The 24976-nt window shown below is 37.8% G+C and overlaps 1 protein-coding gene across 10 annotated transcripts in view, besides 1 other annotated feature; it reads right to left on the bottom strand.

Moving 5' to 3' along the window:
* The window catches only part of LCLAT1 (lysocardiolipin acyltransferase 1), a 196980-nt gene that overhangs the window by 24053 nt on the left and 147951 nt on the right, over positions 1-24976 (bottom strand). Inside the window, exon 7 of one of the 10 annotated variants that reach the window (XM_047443869.1) lies at positions 1283-14157. The exons of the other annotated variants lie outside the window; for them this stretch is intronic. Within the exon in view, the coding sequence (XP_047299825.1) occupies positions 13973-14157 (185 nt within the window). The 3' untranslated portion in view covers positions 1283-13972. Of the gene's footprint in view, positions 1-1282; positions 14158-24976 lie in introns of those variants that run through there. 10 annotated transcript variants of the gene reach the window in all.
* Positions 6223-7220: an enhancer, noted in NCBI's record as "OCT4-NANOG-H3K27ac hESC enhancer chr2:30835819-30836816 (GRCh37/hg19 assembly coordinates)". NCBI's record gives its function as "activates a minimal SCP1, AML or CMV promoter by ChIP-STARR-seq in naive H9 embryonic stem cells {active_cell/tissue: H9 hESC(naive)}" and the evidence as "EXISTENCE:reporter gene assay evidence [ECO:0000049][PMID:30033119]".

The following is a 24976-nucleotide window of genomic DNA, read 5'->3' as shown; positions in this document are numbered from 1 at the left end:
ATTCAAGAGCTGGGTTCTGGAATCAGATAAAACCCTAGGTTTTTTTGCTTAATTCCACTCCTTGCTGATGTATGGCCCTGAGAAACATACATAACCTTGGGGAGGATTAATTGAGATTATCCTTAGTAAGTGATCAACGAATGTTGCCTATTAAAATTATTTTAAAATTTATTTAAGGCAACAACAATTTTAACTTACAGGACAGAGTGAATTACTCAGTAATAACAGTTAACTACCATAACTTGTGCTCATATAGCAGGAGATTTGTTTAGGGCATTGAAAATAGTTTATTCCCACTTTGGAACCTGGGAGATAAATCTTGCTAGATATGATTCTGGATAACTCTGGGACACGAAATGACTAAGGATTGGGGGGAAAAACTTAAAGGGAAGAAGGCAAAGATAAGCTCTGCCAATACTGCAATTTTGCCTGAAGATCCTCGTGGCTTCTAAGTTTACCACTCAAAATGAATTCTTGCTGCATTTGGCATGCTCAGCTTATTAATGACAAAGTTATTTACCTGGGCTGGGTTGAATAGTGGCCTTCCTGACCTCTAATTCAGCCCAGTTTTTCAGTTAATCCCAATCCTTTATTCACAAGGAAAACAACCAGAAATTCTTTTAAAAATAGGTGCATGAGTAAAGTATCTTTTTTATTAGCACTAGAATATCTTGTAAAGTTTCATATTTGTAAAAACCTTTATTGGTGGGATAAGATGGAAAGTGAAGGTGGCAAGGAATGCAGATACCTTATAGAGGTTTACTGACTAATGCCAGGGTGAGCTGGAAAGCAGATCTGGTGGTCTGGAGCCTGAATCCAAAAGAGAATGCTATGGTTTTGGTGTTAGAGCCATGTGGGGAAGTAAGTTTCATATTACCATCTTTTCAACACCAGTATTCACTCAGCTAGGGCTGTAATTACTAGCGAAATTTTTATCTAGTTCTAGTGTCTATAAGTAGTATATAAAGATACAAGGTTAATGTATAATCAAAACCAGTGGTTCTCAACCTTTTTCCTACTCCTAGCAGCTCACTAGGGCAGAGATGCTCAACCAGGGATTACGTAGGAAGATGTGTTTGAAAAATTACCCAAGTCATTAGGTGTACTATTCTTGGTCTTCTAAATTCCTCATGTCTAAAATAACATTAAGAAGCCATATAGCTCTACTATAGCACTTGTTACCAGACTTGTTACCATCTACATGATAGCACTTGTTACCAGACACCTGGCACTAGAGATTCTAATCACTGCAATAAGGCAAAAACAAAAAAGGGCATACAGATTAAAAAGGAAAAGTAAAACTCTTTATTCACAAACTATGATGTAGAGAATCCTTAGGGGTCTACAAAACTACTAGAACTGGTAAGTAGATTTAGCAAGGTTACAGGATACAAGTTCATTATTAAATCTATTTCTGGATACTAGTAATGAATAACTGAACACTGAAATTTTATTTTTTTTAACTTTTAGCTTTGGGTATACATGTGAAGGTTTGTTACATAGGTAAACATACGTCATGAGGGTTTGTTGTACATATTATTTCATCACCCAGTTATTAAGTCCAGTACCCAATAGTTATCTCTTCTCCCTCCTCCCACCCTCCCTTGTCAAGTAGACCGCAGTGTCTGCTGTTTCCTTCTTTGGAACACTGAAATTTTAAAAACACCATTTACAATATCAAAGTTATGAAACACTTGTAAATTTTATAAAATATGTGCAAGAATGCAAACTATAAAACATGACTGAGAGAAAGACCCATATAAATGGGAGATATACTATGTTCATAGACTGGAAAATTCAATATTATTAAGATTACATTTCTCTAAAATGCTCTACAGATTCAAAGTAATCCTAATAAAAACTAGTCTGCTTCTGTGTATAAATTAACAAACTGATTCTAAGTTTTATATAGATGTGCAAAGGAACTAGAATAAGAAAACAATTTTGAAAAAGAAAAAGATGGAGGCTTGGCATTAGCTGCTCATTTCAGGACTTACTATAAAGGTTCAGTAATCGAGACAATATTGTACTGGAGGAGAGTTAGACATACAGATCAATGAAACAGAACAGAGTCTAGAAACAGATGAACACAGAAAATCTTTGTGACCTGGACTAGGCAACAGTTTCTTACATAGGACATTGAAGAGCACAAATCATAAACTGAAAAACTGTACTTTGTCAAAATTAAACACATCTACTCTTCATAAGACAGTATTAAGGAAATAAAAATGCAAGCCACAGATTGGAAGATAATGTTTGCAAACCAAATATATTATAAATAACTTGTATCTAAGATATATAAAACATTCTTGCAAGCCCATAATAAAGCAACCCAATGTTTTAAATTGGATAAAAAATTGGAATTAACATATCACCAGTGAAGGTATATGAAAGACAAATAAGCCCAGGAAAAGATGCTTAAATTAACACTTTAGTTACTATTAGGGAAACATAAACCAAAACCACAATAAGATTCTAATATACATTTACTAGAATGGCTAGGTTAAAAAGGCTAACAATATCAGGTTTTGGTCAGGATGGTGAACAACTGGAACCCTCAAATAATACTAATGGACATGTAAAACAGTCTACACACTCTGGAAAACCAGAGAATGACAGCATAGGTATGTGCCCAAGAAAATATATGCCCATACAAATTCTTGTATTAATACAAAAATGTCTGTAGCAATTTTATACATAGTATCCTAAAATTGTAAATAACGCAGGTGTCTATCAGTCCATGAATGGTTAAAGAAATTGTGGCATATTCCACACAATGCAATACCAATCAGCAATAAAAAGGAATAAACTACAGATTCATGCAGCAATATGGATGAAACTTAACAGCATTATTCTAACTTAAACCAGACACAGATGACCACATACTATATAATTCCATTTATATGAAAATCTAGAAAAGGCAAAACTATGGTGACAGAAAGCACATCAGTGGGTTCCAGGGACCAACGTTCAGGGAAGGGGCCTGACTGCAGAGGTACATAGAAAACCTTTGGGGGTGATGGACATGTTTCATATTTTGACTGTGGGTAGATATGTGGCTCTATACATTTAATAAAACACATCTAACTGTACACTTAAAATGAGTACATTTTACAGCAAGTAAATTCTACCTCTAAAAGCTGTTTTTTTAAGGCGTCTCAAATATTTCCCCTAAAAAAATTTAAGTGATATCACAAATCTGTAATATGTGCTATAGTCTAAACAGAGCTTTCTAAAAGGCTGCGTGGATTCTTGTCAAACCAAAATGTTAGAAAACATTATTTAGAGTTTGAAACAAATTTATTCACATGTATGATTTCAATTTTTTTTTTTTGGTATTAGCATTTTATTTGAAACAGGATCTTTTCCTATTCATTCAAATAAGCATTAACATATCCGACAAGCTTTTCATTGTTATTTTGCATCCTTTTTCCTTTCCTGGTTAATGCAAGATATAATTCCCTAATTAAGGGATCACTTTAAGTGCAAGCTGACATTTAAAAATTTCTAGGACGTTAATTTCCTTCAGGGTCACAAATAATAACTACCATGTTTTCTTGCTACTATCTAGAAAGGAAAAAGGTTACATCAACATATTTCTGAAGCAGTTACAAATAGTTCAATTAGAATTCACAGAGAAAACAATAAAAATATTAGAAGAAAAGTGACAATGTGTCTTGCAATCAATATTTTAGAAGCATATAGCTCTAATTTATTAGATTACTACAGTAGTAGCAGGGCTTAGGTGTATCAAACAAAACAAACACATACACACACTCTTGCACCCTTCAATTCCTCCTGTAAAACTCAGAGCAAATATTACAATGACAGTATGGCATCTAATCTGTTTGATTCAGATTTGAAGGATGTATTTTTGCTTTTAATCAATACTATGATTCAGAAACTCAACACATTTGGAAACTGGTTTAAACATCCATTTCAACTTTCTCCTGCTAAGTACTCCCTCCACCAGCAACCAAAATACAACAACAAAAAAACCGTTCACTTACCATTGCAATTCAACAGCAACATTCCCTATCAGCTGTGCACATGGTGTGACAGCTTGTGTCAAAATCACCTTTGAGTAGCTTCTAATTACACATGCACAGTTCTTATAGATGAAACTGGCCTGGGTAAACTGTGAAGACTAACTCAGTGGAGACCACAACTCTCCCTCTGTCTAGTGCCCTCTACCCATTTCCAAGGTAGGGAAGGGTCTCATTTCAATCCCTTACACAAGCTGATCAATTCACTGATTATACTCCAATGTGAATAGATGTCATAAGTCTTGATCATTCAATCAGTCTGAAGACGTAACCGGCAAGTAATCTGATTTAGTACTCTTGATGTGTTTTTTGCAGTATATAATGTACCTTTCCCAGATAAATTCCTTACCACAGACTCAAAGTGCATAAGCCAAACTAGATTTGAATGCCCAGTTCCTAAGGCTTTATTTCCTTTCACTTTACACATTTACATAAGTCTTATGGAGAAAGACTTTTTGATATGTGGTGTCTCTTTTCTCCCAGAAACTTATTTGAGCCTATTAGGCACAAGTTTTGGTGGAAGTATTTAAGTTTTTCGGCAGGGAATGAAGGCTAGTGGGAGTCCTTGGTAAATTCCTGATCACTGGCCAAAAGCAGCTCCTTAGTACTGCTCAACATACATATTTCCTTAGTCCATTCTGTGTCCCAGTTGCTTGGATTTGAGGACTTCATGACTTTGCTTTTCTCAAAAACTTCCAATAACTTCCTCACTATCCTTCATTCTCATCCTATTTCACTGAGAAAATCAATCAAAAGAAATTTGCACAACTCGTACCACCCTATATACTCTCCTACTACTGTGTGAGTTCATACACTTTGCCTTCTTTTTTTCATAAGGAGGATCTGTCCACGCATGTATTTAGGGCCAATCCCTCCACCTATGTCTTCTATCTCACCTGCTCTTGCCTACTCAGGAACAGAGCCCCAGCAATTCCCCTTTAATCAGTCATTCTATCTTGACCATCAACATATTATAACTTCTCCCATCATTCCCTCTTGGCTCACCTCTCCTTCTAGTGACCACTCATCTCTGTGTTCACTTACACAGCTAAACTTCCTGAGCTGTCTATACTCACTGTCTTCAATCCTCTTTCATTTCTCTCTCGAACCCATGCCAATGAAGCTTCTGCCCTCATCATTCCACCAGAACTGTCCTCGGTGACCTTTATGTACCAAATCCAATGCCTCCCTCCCTCTTGGCTTCCTGGTCACCTTACTCTCTTGGCTTTTCCCCAACTTCACAGGCCACTCTGAAGTCTTCTTTGTGGATGGCCTGGTTCTCCGATCCCTAATATTGTACTGCCTACTATTAACTAGGCTGGGATCTTACTCTTCTCCATCCACACTCATTCCTTAGGTGATCTCTTTCAGTCTTGCAGCTTTAAATATCATATGTGGTCATGCCTACCAAATGTGTATCTCCTGCCTCTCTCCTTTCTAGACTCACATATTTACTAATTTCATAACTCCCTATGGATATCTAATAAGTAGCTCAAACTTAACATGGCTTAAATGGAACTGCTTTTTGGCCTTTCCCCCAAAACCTGTACTTACCACAGTCTTTGTTGCAGTTAAAAGGCAAAACTGCCTTTCCTTCAGTTGAGGCCAAGAACCTTGCAGTCACACTAGTTCCCTCTCATTTTCTTATACTCCACACCCGACCCATCAAAAAATCCTATTGCTTCCATGTGGGGAAAAGCAAGAGAGATCAGATTGTTACTGTGTCTGTGTAGAAAGAAGTAGACATAGGAGACTCCATTTTGTTATGTACTAAGAAAAATTCTTCTGCCTTGAGATTCTGTTAATCTATAACCTTACCCCCAACCCCGTGCTCTCTGAAACGTGTGCTGTGTCAACTCAGAGTTAAATGGATTAAGGGCGGTGCAAGATGTGCTTTGTTAAACAGATGCTTGAAGGCAGCATGCTCCTTAAGAGTCATCACCACTCCCTAATCTCAAGTACCCAGGGACACAAAAACTGCGGAAGGCCGCAGGGACCTCTGCCTAGGAAAGCCAGGTATTGTCCAAGGTTTCTCCCCATGTGATAGTCTGAAATATGGCCTCGTGGGAAGGGAAAGACCTGACCGTCCCCCAGCCCGACACCCGTAAAGGGTCTGTGCTGAGGAGGATTAGTAAAAGAGGAAGGAATGCCTCTTGCAGTTGAGACAAGAGGAAGGCATCTGTCTCCTGCCCGTCCCTGGGCAATGGAATGTCTCGGTATAAAACCCGATTGTATGCTCCATCTACTGAGATAGGGAAAAACCGCCTTAGGGCTGGAGGTGGGACCTGTGGGCAGCAATACTGCTTTGTAAAGCATTGAGATGTTTATGTGTATGCATATCTAAAAGCACAGCACTTAATCCTTTACATTGTCTATGATGCAAAGACCTTTGTTCACATGTTTGTCTGCTGACCCTCTCCCCACAATTGTCTTGTGACCCTGACACATCCCCCTCTTCGAGAAACACCCACAGATGATGAATAAATACTAGGGGAACTCAGAGGCTGGCGGGATCCTCCATATGCTGAACGCTGGTTCCCCGGTTCCCCTTATTTCTTTCTCTATACTTTGTCTCTGTGTCTTTTTCTTTTCCAAATCTCTCGTCCCACCTTACGAGAAACACCCACAGGTGTGTAGGGGCAACCCACCCCTACACTTCCACCTTAAAATGTATCTAGAATCCAGCCATTTTTTGCAACCTCACTAATTTTACCTCACTCTCCACTTCTCTTTCCTGCATTATTACAAATAACTTTCTAATTGGTTTCTCTGTTTGCCCACCTGCCCGACCTACAGATTTTTCTTAACATTACAGCCAGAGTAATCCTTTAATAATGTCAGTCACAATCTTATAACCCCTCCCCCTTCACCCCTTCTCCCCAGTGGCTGCCCATCTCAGAGAGAACACCAAACTCCCATGGTGGCCTATCTGGCAAACATTTACCTTTCTGCCCTCATTCTCTGCTACTGCTCATGTGACTTGATCTGGTCTAGCCACACTGCATCTCTTGTTCTTCTTTGAACACACTAGGCACATTCTCATCTCAGGCACGTTATTGTTCCTTCTACTAGGGATCCTCTTCCCCCAAATTCCTCTTTTCAGGGGAGCCCTGACTACCCTACTTCAGTCTTCCCTCTTCCTTGATTTATTTTCTCTGTAAGCCCCATCATCTGACATACTATAAATTTTACGTACTTATTGTCTAAATTTTTGTTTATTTTATTCATTGGTGTATTCCTGTGCTGCTTCAGTGAGCTCAGGAAATATATAAATTGAATAAGCAGAAAAGGGGAAACTGAGCTGAGCTTCTGTCTCTGGGGTACTTCTTGGCAGAGAGCCTAAGAATAGAGCCTTCCCTAACAGCCTGCAGTAGAAAGGTGCATTATGAGAGACTGTCGCTGGAAAGTAATTGTGATTAATGATCCCTCAGACCATAGCAGAGAAGGCAGACAGGAATTTGTGCTTCTGTTCTGGACATGAGACATTCTTTGCCAAGCCTTAGATACTCTGTAGTTCTGCTACTTGCAATCTGTGCAATCACTATATTATTGTTAAAGCACTGGGGTTCTTCATGAGTTGTCAGGCAAGCTGAGATAATAATGTTTCAGAGGATATACTGGGAAGTCAAGGTCACATGTATGTGGTGTTAACAGTAGGTCAACAGCACTAAATGACCAACATCTGAATAGGCACAGGGCGCCACAAGGACAGGAAGCTAGAGACCTCTTCAATGATGATAGGTGCCTTTTATAGGTTTAAGGAGCTTATGTTAGTTTGATATGCTCCTCTCTCCCTCTCCCTTCAAACCGTGATATAAATACTCTTTAGTTATGGCATATTTGACGATGTTAAACATACAGTGTTGTTTTTAAACTGAAATTCTTTCCTGACATTCTGGAATGCAATCCCCTGTGCTTGCTTCATTTTCTCTCTGATAACAACAGAAACTTCATTAAACATTCCCGAATATAGCCTCTTCATTAATTAAGGTATTACTGTAGAAGTACTTGTTTCCTAATCAACTCTCAAGACTGTGTCTTTAAATAGAACCACCAACCTCCTCACAGAAAGTCTTTTCCTCACAGAAAAGAAAGCTTCATTTTCTACTGTGCTATTTTTTTTCTTTCTATCCACAGGACACATGGGAGTCCCACCAGCTTGAAAAAAATTTCACAGAGCTGGCATTTCCATCAGTGCAGACACGGCTCTGAAAACAGTAATTGCTGCCTTATGGGCATGATACGCCCATTTCTACTCTGACCTCCTCCCAGGAGAAACTCTTCTGCAAATGACCACAGTACTTCACTTGAGTTCTGCGTCATCCTCCTCCTATTAGTTCAAGTGGTCTGCTAAGCGGTTCATGAACCACTTCCCTCAGCTGACCCAGATGAAGTAAGCTCTTCTTTGCTGCTATGCCCAGAGCCCAGACCAGTTAAGAATCTCAGCCTGACTTGGCCTGTTATCCCTCAGCTTCCAGTCCTGACTCCAAGGTACCTTCTTTCTGTAAGTCTTCAGCCTACTGACTCAGGGTCCTACCATACACACCACTGTCTTCTGAGAACAGCACACATGGGGCAGAGCAGAGTCAGGGGGAGAGAGAAAGAACAGTTAACAACTCTTAGAAACCTGAAAATAAAGAGGATACGGCTGGAAATGGGACCTCAGAAAGTTCCACATGCTAGAATGCCTTTCCTTTTGCTTTCATGGCACTCTCTTTCACCCTCAACTGAAAGTGTGAGTGTATACACACACACTCTCTGTTCTCTGGGATTTCCTAAAACTGGAGCTAAATTATAATTAGGACATTATATAGTTTATTTTCAAGAATTTTTGGTTGCAGCAAATTAGAATATATGCTTTGGTTTCATAGAATTAATTCATGTAGCTTTATCATGTTCACATAGAGCAATGCAAACTTTCTCATGCATATATAATGAAGCAGGAAAGACTATAAAAGGACCAAAAAGAAAAAAAATGGACAAAAAGGCCAGAAGAAAAATGCTAATGAGTCTGTTGACTACTGATAGGAAAAAAAAAAAAAAGCTAAAAGTAGAAGAGCAGTGGTGAAGCCAGAATTTAACAAATTAAGGGAGGAATATTGGGGGAAAGATGATCAAGGAAGAAGTGAAAAAAAAACAAAATTAAACTCAGTGTTTGGTATCTATTACATAGCCAGCATTAAAAAAACTGAAGAAAAGCACAAGGATGGTAACAGGTGAGGAAATAATAACAGTTAAGTCCAAGAAATTTTTTAAAAAGTTATATTCATGTCCGTGGAGACCCTTAATTCAGAATATATATCTATGATTTACTTGTTTTTAATAACACTGAACTTCTGGTAAAACAGAAAAGACATTAAATGTGTTGGACCAACCAGCTGGAATGAAAATTGATTCCCAAACCCAAGTAACACAAGAATGTACTAACTCTAAGCTCCAACATTATAATATAAAACAGAATCCATATTGTTTTTAATGACAGCCTGTTACAGCACTTGTGATACTCTTGAATTTAGCAGAGTGACATCAGACCTAGGCTTATATAACTATTCAAACAACAAGGTCTTAAATACCTGAGAGATCTGTTAATATAAAGATGATCTTAATATTCACAATCCTCTGGTGTTAAAAACAATTTCCACCAGACCTTGATACACAAGTGGATAAATCATGTTAAATTAAATCAGTCTGTACTTATGGAGCTATCTTAATCAGAAGGAGATTTAATGAAAAGCGTTAGCTTAGATGAATAATTATTATAGGCTAATATTTGTCCACAAAAAGAATTTGTTTCAGGATTAGACAGAGACCATGAGAAGCCAGAGGCATCAATTCAATAATGGAATGCCTAATTATAATGTATTGCTTTGCCCTGCATATAATTTATTTAGCACATTGCTTTTCACAGGGTTTATTAAGGAAACCTAAAAAAAAAAATGCAATTACTAAAGAAGGAACGAAAAAATTAGTAAACTAAAACCTTTTAAGAAATAGAGGAAGTAATATGTGACAAAGTCTAGTTATTAGAAAAATGCAGGGGGTATGGCTATGTTCAATTTGTACATGTAGAAACTGCATATTTGTCCTATATCCTTCAAAAATCGGTCATTGCCTTTATGTGCTTAAAATTATGTTAAGACATGCATTCATCACATCAAAAGTATCAATAAAGAGTTTAATAATTGCTCACTAAATCATGCTTATGATAATGATTTTAAGTCCTGTGCTAGCTACAGCTACCATGGGAGATTTAAAGACATGGAAGCAATCCTTGCCTTTTAGAAGTTTATAATCTAGTTGAAGTACAACATATAAATATGTGAAAAGTTAAGTAATAACACAGGAAACGAATACAAGTTAATAGAAAATTTTAAGAGAAGTGAGGTGAGTGTAGTAGAGAATGAACACTATGAGTTCAAAGGAGGACAGGATCACTGTGGGCTGAAATGCCTAAACAGTTATGCACACAAAAAGGCTATCCTGGTATAACACATGCATAAACTAGTTCCTTGAGATTTAGAAGAAACTGGGTCTTCACTATGGAAAATACATTCTAAAAGAATCAAGTGGTTGTGGAAAAACAAGTATCAGAATAGAGTTCAAAGCCATTCTCATGAATATATGGGGACTTAATATATGATAAAGGTAACATCACAAATCAATGGAGAATAACAGATTAAGTACACACTGTTGGAGAAAAATAAAACCAGATCCTCACACCAAACAACACATGTAAGGGACTCCAGATGGATAAAGCTGAAATGTAAAACATAATTATACAATTAACAAAAGAAAATGGAGACCAAGTAACAAGAAAGGTTTTTAAAAACCAGACTTCAAGAGCATAGGTCGTAAGATAAAAACTTCTTAATTTGATTACACCAGGAATTTCTGTTCAATGAATATGTAATAAAATAGAACATACCTGCAATGTCTAAAATTCAACAAGGGATTATATCTAGAACATAAGAACTAGTGCGAATTAACAAGTCACTATAGTAATCCCAATAGAAACACAGACAAGATATAAACAGGCAATGAATAGATGAGGAAACCCAGAAAATATCAGGCATGTGAAAATCCTTTGTAATCAGACAAAACCAAATTAAAATATACCTATTTGACTGGCAAAGAGTAGAAAGCTGGATAATACCAAGTGTTCACAGGAATGAGAGGAAACAGGCACCCTTGTGCATTGCCAGTGGGTGTTTAGAGGGGAGTATCTATTATGTAGTATAATTTGGGGCTGGTCAAATTAAGGTTACCAAACCCTATGACTCAGCAGTTCTACTCTTGGACATACAACTATGTGTCACTTGACGGGGATATGTTCTGAGAGATGTGTCTTTAGGCAATTTTTTTGTCATGGGAACATCATAGAGCATACTCACACAAACCTAGACAGTATATAGTCTATGACCCACCTAGGCTATATGGTATGGCCTGTTGCTCCTAGGCTACAAACCTGTACAGCATGTTACTGTACTGAATATTGTTGGCAATTGTAACATAATGCTAAGTATTTGTGTGTCTAAACATAGAAAAGGTATGGTAAAAATACAGTATAAAAGATAAAAAATAGTATACCTCTACAGGGCACTTACCATGAATGGAGTCTGCAGGACTGGAAGTTGCTCTGGGTGAGTCAGTGAGTGAGGGTGAGTGAATGTGAAGGCCTAGGACACCACTGTACACTACTGTAGACTTTAATAAACACTGTACACTTAGGCTACACTAAATTTATTAAAAAACTTTCATCAATAATAAATTAACCTTAGCTTACTGTAACTTTTTTACTCTAAACTTATAAATTTTTTTTTTTTTTTGAGATGGAGTCTCACTCTGTCACCCAGGCTGGAGTGCAAGCAACATCCGCCTCCCAGGTTCAAGCTATTCTCCTGCCTCAGCCTCCCAAGTAGATGGGAATAGAGGCACCTGCCACCACGCCCAGCTAATATTTGTATTTTTAGAAGAGACAAGGTTTCAACTTGTTGGCCAGGCTAGTCTTGAACTCCCGACCTCAGGTGATCCACCTGCCTCGGGTTCCCAAAGTGCTGGGATTACAGGTGTGAGTAAACTTCTAAATGTTTAAAACTTGACTCTTTTATAACACTTCGCTTAAAACACAAACCTATTGTAAAGTTGTACAAAAAGACTTTCTTTCTATCCTGATTCCATAACCTTTAATTATAAAAACTTTTTTAAAAAAAACTGTTAAAAATTAAGACACACACACACACACACACACACACACACACACACACACACACACACACACACAGCCTAGGCCTACACAGGGTCAGGATCATCAATATCACTGTCTTCACCTCCACATCTTGTCTCACTGCAAGGTCTTCAGAGGTAATAACAAGCATGGAGCTGTCATGTCCTATGACAGCAATGCCTTCTTCTGGAATACCTCCTGAAGGACCTGCCTGGGGCTGTTTTACTGCTTTTACTATAAGCAGAAGGAATACACTCAAGTAACAATAAAAAGTATAGTACAGTAACTATGTAAATCAGTAACATAGTCATTATCATTACGGTATATAATTTTATGTGCTACTGTTTTACACAACTGGTAGCATAGTGGTTTACATCAGCATCATCACAAACATGTGATGATGTCACCAGGTGATAGGAATTTTCTAGCTCCATTATGATCTTATGAGACTGCCATCATATATGTGGTTTGCCACTAACTAGAACGTCATTATGTGTTGCATGACTGTATATCCCAAAGGAATTCTTACACAGGTACACAAGAAGACATCTATAAAGATATTTCCTTGGCTGGGCGCGGTGGCTCATGCCTGTAATCCCAGCACTTTGGGAAGCTGAGGCGGGTGGATCATGAGGTCAGGAGATCGAGACCATCCTGGCTAACATGGTGAAACCCTGTCTCTACTAAAAATACAAAAAAATTAGCCGGGCGTGGTAGTGGACGCCTGTAGTCCCAGCTACACAATGGTTGAACTAATATACATTCCCACCAACAATGTAAAAGCATTCCTCTCGCTCCACAGCCTTGCCAGCATCTGTTGTTTCATGACTTTTAAATAATTGCCATTTGGACTGGTGTGAGATGGTATCTCATTGTGGTTTTGATTTGCATTTCTCTGATGATCAGTGATGTTGAGCTTTTTTTCATAAGTTTATTAGCCATATAAATGTCTTCTTTTGAGAAGTGTCTGTTCATGTCCCTTGCCCACTTTTTTAATGGGGTTGTTTTTTCTTGTAAATTTGTTTTAGTTTCTTGTTGACTCTGAATATTAGACCTTTGTCAGATGGATAGATTGCAAAAATTTTCTCCCTTTCTGTAGAATGTCTGTTTGCTCTGATGATAGTTTCTTTTCCTGTGCAGAAGCCCTTTAGTTTAATCAGATCCCATTTGTCAATTTTTGCTTTGGTTGCAATTGCTTTTGTCATCTTCATCATGAAATCTTTGCCCATGCTTATGTCCTGAATGGTATTGCCTAGATTTTTTTCTAGGGTTTTTATAGTTTTGGGTTTTTCATTTAAGTCTTTAATCCATCTTGAGTTAATTTTTGCATAAGGTGTAAGGAAGGGGTCCAGTTTCAGTTTTCTGCATATGGCTAGCCAGTTCTCCCAGCACCATTTATTAAATAGGGAATCCTTTCCCCATTGCTTGTTTTTGTCAGGTTTGTCAAAGATCAGATGGCTGTAGTTGCACGGACTTATTTCTGAGTTCTCTATTCTGTTCCATTGGTCTATGTGTCTGTTTTTGTAACAGTACCATGCTATTTTGGTTACTGTAGCCCTGTAGTATAGTTTGAAGTCAGGTAATGTGATGCCTCCAGCTGTGTTCTTTTTGCTTAAGATTGTCTTGGCTATATGGGCTTTTTGTTGGTTCCATATGAATTTTAAGAGTTTTTTCTAATTCTATGAAGAATGTCAACGGCAGTTTAATGGGAATAGCATTGAATCTGTAAATTGCTTTGGGCAGTATGGCCAATTTCACGATATTGATTCTTCCAATCCATGAGCATGGAGTGTTTTTCCATTTGTTTGTGTCCTCTCTGATTTCCTTGAGCAGTGATTTGTAGTTCTCCTTGAAGTGGTCCTTTACTTCCCTCGCTCTGCCTCCTGCCTGATCAACAGAGTGGGGAGTGGGGAGCATTAGATTCTCATGGTAGCAAGAACCCTCCTGTGAACTGTGCAAGTGAGGGATCTAGGTTGCGCGCTCCTTATGAGAATCTAACTAATGCCTGATGATCTGAGGTGGAACAGTTTCATTCCGAAACCATCCCCCCACTCCCTCCCCGAGCCGTGGACAAATGGTCTTCCACAAAACCAGTGCCTGGTGCCAAAAAGGTTGGGGACCACTGACATAAAAGATTTGCTCATCCATTTCTCTATTAGGTGCTAGATTCATCCTGATCATTTGCTAAAACTGCTATTATACCTTTCTTTCTTTAAAGGTGCAGCTTCAGAGTTGTAGGAGAGGAAATGTATATTTCACTCTTAGTGAGAATTATGTCACTGATGAAGAAATTAAGCTTTCTCAGAATTCTTTTAAAATTCATTTTAGGCTGAAATTGCCTTACATATCTAAATGTTTGAACACTTTCTTAAACACTAAAGCAGTTCTTAACAGCAATACAAAGAGAAAGTCTGAATAAACTAAAAACAATATGTAAATTGGTCTGCTTTAGAATAAATCTGCATACAGTGTCCTGCATTGGTACATTCTACAAAGGGAATTAAAGCCATGAAATTAACATTTTAATGAAGCAGACAGACTACTGACGTCAAGACTACTCACTGATTGCAGCTTCCAGGTGGCCTAATGAGATGAAAATGAAGTTTATACCTTTAGCTGGTCTAAGCAAGGGCTGTTTGGATATTATGATTGAATTTAAATTAGAAAATACGGCTGTGTGCAAACACGTTTAGGTTAGCAAGTAGTCTCTGTAAATCTCCGCACTATAAATGCTTAATTTACAATAGTTAAGGCAATACACACAAACATTTTGGTCTTTTTTCTAAAGCACTGTCCTAAAACTGGTGGGAAGTTACTGTACTTTGGAAAACACTACAATGGTTTTATCAGAATGACCCATGTTAACTGTGTTACAGGTCCATGTAATGTAACCATTAAAAGGGAGCACAGAGGTCATCTAGTGCAACCTCCCACCTGTGTGTGGGGGCGGCAAGGACACAGATGCCTTGAGGCAGCCTTTTTCCTGGCAGGCAGCTCTAATTTGTAGAAATGCTCTTATTACCCAAGGAAATTTGAGGCTGAAGTTTATCCCTCTGGGACTCCCACTCCTTAGTTTGTCCTCTAAAAACAAACAGTATGATGCTTTTAACTTCTGTGGATAACAATCCTTCAAATATTAAAGCACGGGTAAGCAAAGTACAGCCCATGGACCCATTCCACCTGTGTTTGTACAACCTGAGAGCTACGAATGATGTTTACTTTTTTTTTTTTTTTTTTTTTTTGAGACGGAGTCTCACTCTGTCGCCAAGCTGGAGTGCAGTGGCACGATCTCGGCTCACTGGATTTTTACATTTTTTTAATGGCCAGGGAAAAAAAGCGAAAGTATAATTTTATTTTACACACCTGAAAGTCCTATGAAATTTAAATTTCAATGTCCATAAATAAAGTTTTATTGGAACACATACTCATTCATTTATTTGCAGTACAACAGAATTAAGTAGTTTGGAAAGCGACCATATGGCCTGCACAGCCTAAAATATTTACTACCTGGCCCTCTACAGAAAACGCTTACCAATGCTGATTAAAAGACAGCTAGACAGCTAGACAGCTGTCAAATCTTCTCTTAGTCGTCTTTTCTCTAAGCTAAGAAGTCACAGTCCTAAAGAACATAGAAGAGATTTCCAGGCTACTGGATGCATTCCAATTATCCCTGTCCCTTGCAAGTTGCTGAAGCATGGGAAGAGGGGGCTGAAGGGTCACACTGTTGTAGCCCCAAAATGACACTCATTACATCTGCTCTCTGGCCAGAGTTAGTTGTGCCCTAATCTAAAGGCACTTGGGGACATGTGCTTACTCTGTTCTTCCATGGTCCAAATATAGTTATATCATAATTCTTGGTAAGTTCAATATTTAGTGTTTATATTATACAGCCAGGTAAATATTCACAGTATAATTATGTAGTAGCAATTACATTTCTTATTCCACAAATCATTTTTCCCTGGTTAATAATTACCTTATTTTTCTCTTTGCTTAATTTTCTAGAGACCTGTCACTAATTTATCCCCATACTCTCTGCTAGAAGTACAAATCTCCTTCCCATACATTCAAATATGTCAGATGATCTATTGCTTTCATCATCTTGGGGCCATTCTTCCTGGAACCCTTCATGTCCCTACTCTGATCAGGACTATAATCTTACATGCATGTTGCACAGCTGTCATCCTTGGATCCTCCTTCAACATAATAATCCTGGAGATTCTATTCATATGTTGTTTTCCTTGTTTCCTAAATTCTCTATCACCCTTTTTAGTTTACTCTTTTGTTACAATACATCCTTCAACAGTTCCCCAAGAAAGGTGCAAAGGAGATCTTGAATGTTTGAAAATGCCTATTCTGTCCTCTCATTTGATTGAGAATTTGAGTATGCTCAGAATTCTCCAGTTGGAAACCATTTTCCTTCAAAAAAAAAAAAGCAAAAATTGAAGGTTTCCTCCACTTTTTCTACCAGTGTTGCCTTGGACAATGTGACAGCATTCTAAGTTTTGATCTCTTTGGAAGCTTTTAGGATCCTTGCTTTGTTGCTGGTCTGAAATTTAATGATGATTATGATCTGTCTTTTTCGTTCACTGTATTGTATCTCTAGACACGCTAGGTTTTTTTAAAATTCTAAAATTATTCATTGAATAATTTCTTGCTAATTTATTCTCTGTGGCAAAGAGAAAACAATTCTCTGAATGTTTATTAATTCTCTGAATGTTTATTCTGTGCCAGATACTGTGCCACACATATTTTAAATTTCTTACATATGTTGCATTATATATTGATGCTAAATTTCTTAGATATATTATTTCACTGAAGCAGCACAATAAGAATGTTAGGTAAAGCTTTATTATCCTCATTTACCAAGGGGATGTTAAATATACCACCCTAGGTCACACAGCTAATAAGACATGGAATTATGATTCTAACTCAATTCTTTCCAGTTCTCAAATCCATGCTGTAAATTACTGTTCCGCTGTTCCTGGAAGAAAGTTGTACAATCCCCATTTCTAGACATCTTCTTATCTTTGTCTAAATGTATATGTATTCAACCAAAAGACAGGGATGGGAAGCCAGGGCTGAGCTAATACTGAGCTAGTGTGAAGAGTAGCACTCCAGGATCAACCTGCTGTCAGAGTAAATGGTCATGATGCTTAAACTTTACACCATTAGAAACACTCCTTTATTTCACACCATTAAAATAAAAGCTGATATTAAATGTGCATAATATATAGAGAGGAAGAAAAAAAGTCATTAGGAAGGAACTGATTAATCTGTTTGTGAAAAACTTGAAAGAAATGAGACAGAGAAGTGATGATTTTGGATGGGACAGAGTACAAAACAATTCCCAGTGCAGGTGTGTCTAGGCAGAAGTCTAAGATGGCCAAACAACAGCAGGATCTCAGTCAATGATGGCAGTTACTGAAAGGGTAAGGTGGGGACCACCGAAACAAAATTCACGTTGTAGCCATTTTACCAAAGGCTGGCTTCCTGAAAATTTCTCAAAGTTCTCTATAACTCTTAGAGTTAAAATACTTTGGATCTGGTATTCTGGTGCAGAAGGAGTGAACTATAACTCCTCCCAGTATGCATCTTCCAATTTGCTGGAAAGATCTAGTAAGATACACAGTGCAGAAAATGTCTGGTTTTAAAAGCTCAGCAATCTATCTGCTACACTGTTAACACAGCTACAAGCAGCATCTTTCTCAAACACACTTATCACCCCATTATTTGCCAATGAAAGCCCTACAGGTCTTTCATCCATTTGTCTATTTGATTAAATCTAACTATTGCCTGCCACCTGAAATCCTATTGAGAAAGAAGCTGGATGAAAAACAACCAAGTCTCCTACCTAACAAAAGGAAAGTCTGTCAAATGCCTCTTCCCCTCATCATATCTAGGCAGCCCACTGTTGGAGCTGGCCCCAAATGTGATTTGTTCTCAATTTTATACTACTTCTTTATTGGACTGTTTTGAAGTTTTTATAGTTTAACATTATATATATATCTATAGATATATATATCTATAGATAGATATCTATAGGATCCTTGTTTTGTTGTAGATAAATATATCTATCTATAGATATATATGACATGCCAATTAAATTATACTATTTATGGAGAACTTATATACAACATTTATGTCACTTTGTTGGTGTATCTCTGGCATTGCATTAAAGAAAGTAAACCTGCCAAAAAAGTGCTTTCATTAAAACATATTGTTTTAAAGTGCATCTATTAATCTTGGGATCTGAAGCTTGCACTGCTGACCATGAGTCTGTACTAAATTAGTCATATTCATGTGAATACTGAAAGTATTTGTTGGTGGGATATCAACTGGCCCACATGGGATTATAACCCACAATCTTGGTCTTATTGGTCCTTAACCAAAATAAATAATACACTGAAGTGTGAAGTTAGTGTTCTGCTTCGTTGTTTTACCACTTTAATAATTATGTTCACTTACAAAGCAACTTACTTAGTGTTGAAAAATGGCCTAGAAATATTACAACAGCTCTTGGCATGTAGAAAAGTAATAACATACAGTATTCAAATTTAGAATCCCAAAATTCAGGAGCTCTTTTGCAAAACTATACAGATTATTTGAAACCCTTGTTATAAATATCACCTTGTTACTATGGGTAATAATGAACTTCACTGAGTTAAAGGAGTACGTTCTAAACCAATGCAAAGAAGCTAAGAACCATGATAAAATATTACAGGAGCTGTTAACCAGAATAACCAGTTTAGAGATGAACATAAATGATCTGATGGAGCTGAAAAGCACAACACACAAACTTCACAATGCAACCACAAGTATCAATAACTGAATAGATCAAACGGAGGAAAGGATCTCAGAGCTTGAAGACTATGTTGCTGAAATAAGACAGGCATTTAAGATTAGAGAAAAAAGAATTAAAAGAAATGAACAAAACCTCCAAGAACTATGGGATTATATAAAAAGACCAACCCTATGACTGACTAAGACACCTGAAAGAGACAGGGAGAATGGAACCAAGTTGGAAAACGTATTTCAAGATATAATCCAGGAGAACTTCCCTGACCTAGGAAGACGGGCCAACATTCAAATCTCAGGAAACCCAAGAACCCCAGTAAGATACTCCATGAGAAGTACATCATAGACCAAGACACATAATCATCAGATTCTCAAAGGTCAAAATGAAGGAAAAAATGATAAGGGCAGCCAGAAAGAGAGGCCAGGCCACCTACTAAGGGGAAGGCCATCAGATTCTCAGTGGAAACCCTACAAGCCAGAAGAGACTTGGGGTCAGTATTCAACATTCTTAAAGAAAAGAATTTCCAACCCAATTTGTTTTTATTTTTGAAGTGTTTGTTTTTCATATCTCTGTGTCTTTCACTTCAACTCTGATCTTGGCTATTTCTTGTCTTCTGCTAGCTTTGGAGTTTGTTTGCTCTTGGTTCTCTAGTTCTTTTAGTTGTGATGTTAGGATGTCAATTTGAGATCTTTCTAGCTTAATGTGAGCATTTAGTGCTATAAATTTCCCTCTTAACACTGCTTTAGCTGTGTTCAAGATTCTAGTACATTATCTCTTTGTTCTTATTGACTTCAAAGAACTTCTTGATTTCTGCCTTAATTTCATTATTTACCCAGGAGTCATTCAGGAGCAAGTTAGTTGTTCAATTTCCATGTAGTTGTATGGTTTTGAGTGAGTTTCTTTCTTTTTCTTTTCTTCTAGACCAAACTTAAGCTTCATAAGCAAAGGAGAAATAAAATCCTTTACAGACAAGCAGATGCTGAGGTAATCTGTCACAACCAGGCCTGCCTTGCAAGAACTCCTGAAGGAAGCACTAAACATGGAAGGGAAGAACCGTTACCAACCACTACAAAAACACACTGAAGTACACAGACCAATGACACTGTGAAACAACTACATTGACAAGTCTGCAAAATAACCAGCCAGCATTATGATGACAGGGTCGAATTCAAACATATTACCTTAAATGTAAATGGGTTAAATGCCCCAATTAAAAGACACAAAATGGCAAGCTAGATAAAAAGACAAGACCCATCTCACATGCAAAGACATACATAGGCTCAAAATAAAGGGATGGAGGAAAATTTACCAAGCAAATGGAAAACAGAAAAAAGCAGGGCTTGTAGTACTACTTGCTGACAAAACAGACTTTAAACCAACAAAGATCAAAAAAGACAAAGAAGGGCATTATATAATGATAAAGGGTTCAATTTAACAAGCAGAGCTAACTATCCTATATATGCACTCAATACAGGAGCACCTAGTTTCATAAAACAAGGTCTTAGAGACCTACAAAGGGACTCTCAACACAGTAATAGTGGGAGACTTTAACACCCCTGACAGATCAAGACAGAAAATTAACAAAGATATTTAGGACTTGAATTCAGCTCTAGATCAAGTGGATCTGATAGATATCTACAGAACTCTCCACCACAAAACAACAGAATATACATTCTTCTCAGCGCCACATGGCACTTGCTCTAAAATAGACCACATAATTGGAAGTAAAACACTCCTCAGCAAGTGCAAAAGTACTGAAATCATAACAGTCTCTCAGACCACAGCACAATCAAATTAATTAGAACTCAGATTAATGAAACTCAAAGGCCGGGTGCAGTGGCTCATGTCCGGAATCCCAGCACTTTAGGAGGCTGAGGTGGGCGGATCACTTGAGGTCAGGAGTTTGAGACCAGCCTGGCGAACATGGTGAAACCCCATCTCTACTAAAAATACAAAAATTAGCCTGGCATGCTGGTGCATGTCTGTATTCCCAGCTACTTGGGAGGCTGAGGCAGGAGAATAACTTGAACCGGGAGGCGGAGGTTGCAGTGAGCCGAGATCACGCCACTGCACTCTAGCCTGGACCCAGAGTGAGACTCTATCTATCTCAAACAAAAAAGAAAAGAAAAAAAAAAAGAAACTCACTCAAAATCATACAACTACATGGAAATTGAACAACTTGCTCCTGAATGACTCCTAGGTAAATAATGAAATTAAGGCAGAAATCAAGAAGTTCTTTGAAATCAATAAGAACAAAGAGATAATGTACTGGAATCTCGAACACAGCTAAAGCAGTGTTAAGAGGGAAATTTATAGCACTAAATGCCCACACTAAGCTAGAAAGATCTCAAATTGACATCCTAACATCACAACTAAAAGAACTAGAGAACCAAGAGCAAACACACTCCAAAGCTAGCAGAAGACAAGAAATAGCCAAGATCAGAGCAGAAGTGAAGGACACAGAGATATGAAAAACACTTCAAAAATAAAAACAAATCAATGAATCCACAAGCTGGTTTTTTGAAAAAGTTAATAAAATAGACTGCTAGCTAGACTAATCAAGAAGAAAAAAGAGAAGAATCAAATAGACGCAATACAAAATGATAAGGGGATATCACCACTGACCCCACTGAAATACAAACGACCATCAGAGAATACTATAAACACCTCTGCAAATAAAAAAAAAAAAAAAGAAAATCTAGAAGAAATGGATAAATTCTTGGACACATACACCCTCCCAAGACTGAACCAGGAAGAAGTTGAATGCCTGAATAGACCAATAACGAGTTCTGAAATTGAGGCAGTAATAAATAACCTACCAACCAAAAAAAGCCCAGGACCAGACAGATTTACAGCCGAATTCTACCAGAGATACAAAAAGGAGCTGGTACCATTTCTTCCAAAACTATTCCAAACAAACGAAAAGGAGGGACCCCTCCCTAACTCATTTTATGAGGTCAGTATTATCCTGATACCAAAACCTGGCAGAGATATATCAAAAAAAGAAAACTTCAGGCCAATATCCCTGATGAATATCGATGCAGAAATCCTCAATAAAATACTGGCAAACTGAAACCAGCAGCCTATCAAAAAACTTATACACCATGATCAAGTTGGCTTCATCCCTGGGATGCAAGGCTGGTTCAACATAATGCAAATCAACAAATGTAATTCATCACATAAACAGAACTAAGGACAAATAGTTATCTCAATAGATACAGAAAAGGCCTGTGATAAAATTCAACATTCCTTCATGTTCAAAACTCTCAATAAACTAGACACTGAAGGAACGTACCTCAAAATATTAATAATAGCTGTTTATGACAAACTCACAGCCAGGATTACACTGAATGGGCAAAAGCTGGAAGCATTCCCCTTGAAAAACCAGCATAAACAAGGATGCCCTCTCTCACCACTCCTATTCAGCCTAGTAATGGAAGTTCTGGCCAAGGCAATCAAGCAAGAGAAAGAAACAAAGGGTATCTACATAGGAAGAGAGGAAGCCAAATTGTCTTTGTTTGCAGATGACATGATCCTGTATCTAGAAAATCCCACTGCCTCAGCCCAAAAGCTTCTTAAGCTGATAAGCAACTTCAGCAAAGTCTCAGGATGCAAAATCAATGTGCAAAAGTCACAAGCATTCCTATACACCAACAATAGACAAGCAGAGAGCCAAATCATAAATGAATTCCCATTCACAACTGATACAAAGAGAATAAAATACCTAGGAATACAGCTAGCGAGGGAAGTAAAGGATCACTTCAAGGAGAACTACAAATCACTGCTCAAGGAAATCAGAGAGGACACAAACAAATGGAAAAACACTCCATGCTCATGGATTGGAAGAATCAATATCGTGAAATTGGCCATACTGCCCAAAGCAATTTACAGATTCAATGCTATTCCCATTAAACTGCCGTTGACATTCTTCATAGAATTAGAAAAAACTCTTTTAAAATTCATATGGAACCAACAAAAAGCCCATATAGCCAAGACAATCTTAAGCAAAAAGAACACAGCTGGAGGCATCACATTACCTGACTTCAAACTATACTACAGGGCTACAGTAACCAAAATAGCATGGTACTGTTACAAAAACAGACACATAGACCAATGGAACAGAATAGAGAACTCAGAAATAAGTCCGTGCAACTACAGCCATCTGATCTTTGACAAACCTGACAAAAACAAGCAATGGGGAAAGGATTCCCTATTTAATAAATGGTGCTGGGAGAACTGGCTAGCCATATGCAGAAAACTGAAACTGGACCCCTTCCTTACACCTTATGCAAAAATTAACTCAAGATGGATTAAAGACTTAAATGAAAAACCCAAAACTATAAAAACCCTAGAAAAAAATCTAGGCAATACCATTCAGGACATAAGCATGGGCAAAGATTTCATGATGAAGATGACAAAAGCAATTGCAACCAAAGCAAAAATTGACAAATGGGATCTGATTAAACTAAAGGGCTTCAGCACAGGAAAAGAAACTATCATCAGAGCAAACAGACATTCTACAGAAAGGGAGAAAATTTTTGCAATCTATCCATCTGACAAAGGTCTAATACTCAGAGTCAACAAGAAACTTAAACAAATTTACAAGAAAAAAAAAACAACCCCATTAAAAAAGTGGGCAAGGGACATGAACAGACTCTTCTCAAAAGAAGACATTTATATGGCTAATAAACTTATGAAAAAAAGCTCAACATCACTGATCATCAGAGAAATGCAAATCAAAACCACAATGAGATACCATCTCACACCAGTCCAAATGGCAATTATTTAAAAGTCATGAAACAACAGATGCTGGCAAGGCTGTGGAGCGAGAGGAATGCTTTTACATTGTTGGTGGGAATGTAAATTAGTTCAACCACTGTGGAAGGCAGTGTGGCGATTCCTCAAAGACCTAGAATCAGAAATGCCATTTGACCCAGCAATCCCACTACTCGGTATATACCCAATGGAACATAAATCATTCTATTATAAAGAAAGATACATGCACGCATGTATTTACTGCAGCACTAGTCACAATAGCAAAGACACAGAATCAGCCTAAATTCCCATCAATGACAGACTAAAGAAAATGTGGTACATATACACCATGGAATACTATGTTGTCATCAACAGGAGTGAGATCATGTCCTTTGCAGGGACATGGATACAGCTGGAAGCCATTATCCTCAACAAACTAACCCGGGAACAGAAAACACTACATGTTCTCACTTGTAAGTGGGAGGTGAACAACGAGAACATATGGACATAGTTAGGGGAACAACACAGAACACACACTGGGGCCTGCCGTGGGTGGGAGTGGGGGAAAGCATCAGGAAATACAGCTAATGCATGCTGGGCTTAATACTTAGGTGATGGGTTGATAGGTGCAGCAAACCACCATGGCACACATTTTCCTATGTAACAAACCTGCATACCCTGCACATGTACCCTGGAACTTAAAATAAAATTACCTTGATATAAAGAAACTTCACATTTTCAATGTACCCATTAAGTTCAGCAAAAGCTCAAAGCAGCTAGGTGCTGAAGGATACTGGTTAAGAATGAAACAGGGAGGAATGGGTGAGAAAGGCATTGCAAACCAGGGCACAGGTTCTGGTTGGGAATGGCCATAATGTGTTCAGGAGGCACTAAGAATCCAAGTTGAGCAGAATAGGAATATGGTGGAGGCATCTTGATAGCTCAATAATGCTTGGCACATAATTACACTCAAGACATTAGTGATCTGAATGAATTACTAAAGCCTAAGAGAAGAAAACGTCTGGGTCCACTATAAAAATCAAAAAGAGGGCAGACCTAAGAGACAGACGTGGAATGGGGGAAAAAAAAACCCCCACAAAGGATAGTGGTCAGGAGGGCTGCTTTAAACCAGTAATAACATATTACAGAGCAGTC

The sequence above is a fragment of the Homo sapiens genome, chromosome 2 (genome assembly GCF_000001405.40).
Source record: "Homo sapiens chromosome 2, GRCh38.p14 Primary Assembly".
In the NCBI taxonomy this organism is placed as follows: Eukaryota; Metazoa; Chordata; class Mammalia; order Primates; family Hominidae; genus Homo; species Homo sapiens.
This window is presented reverse-complemented; position numbering and strand designations above follow the sequence as displayed.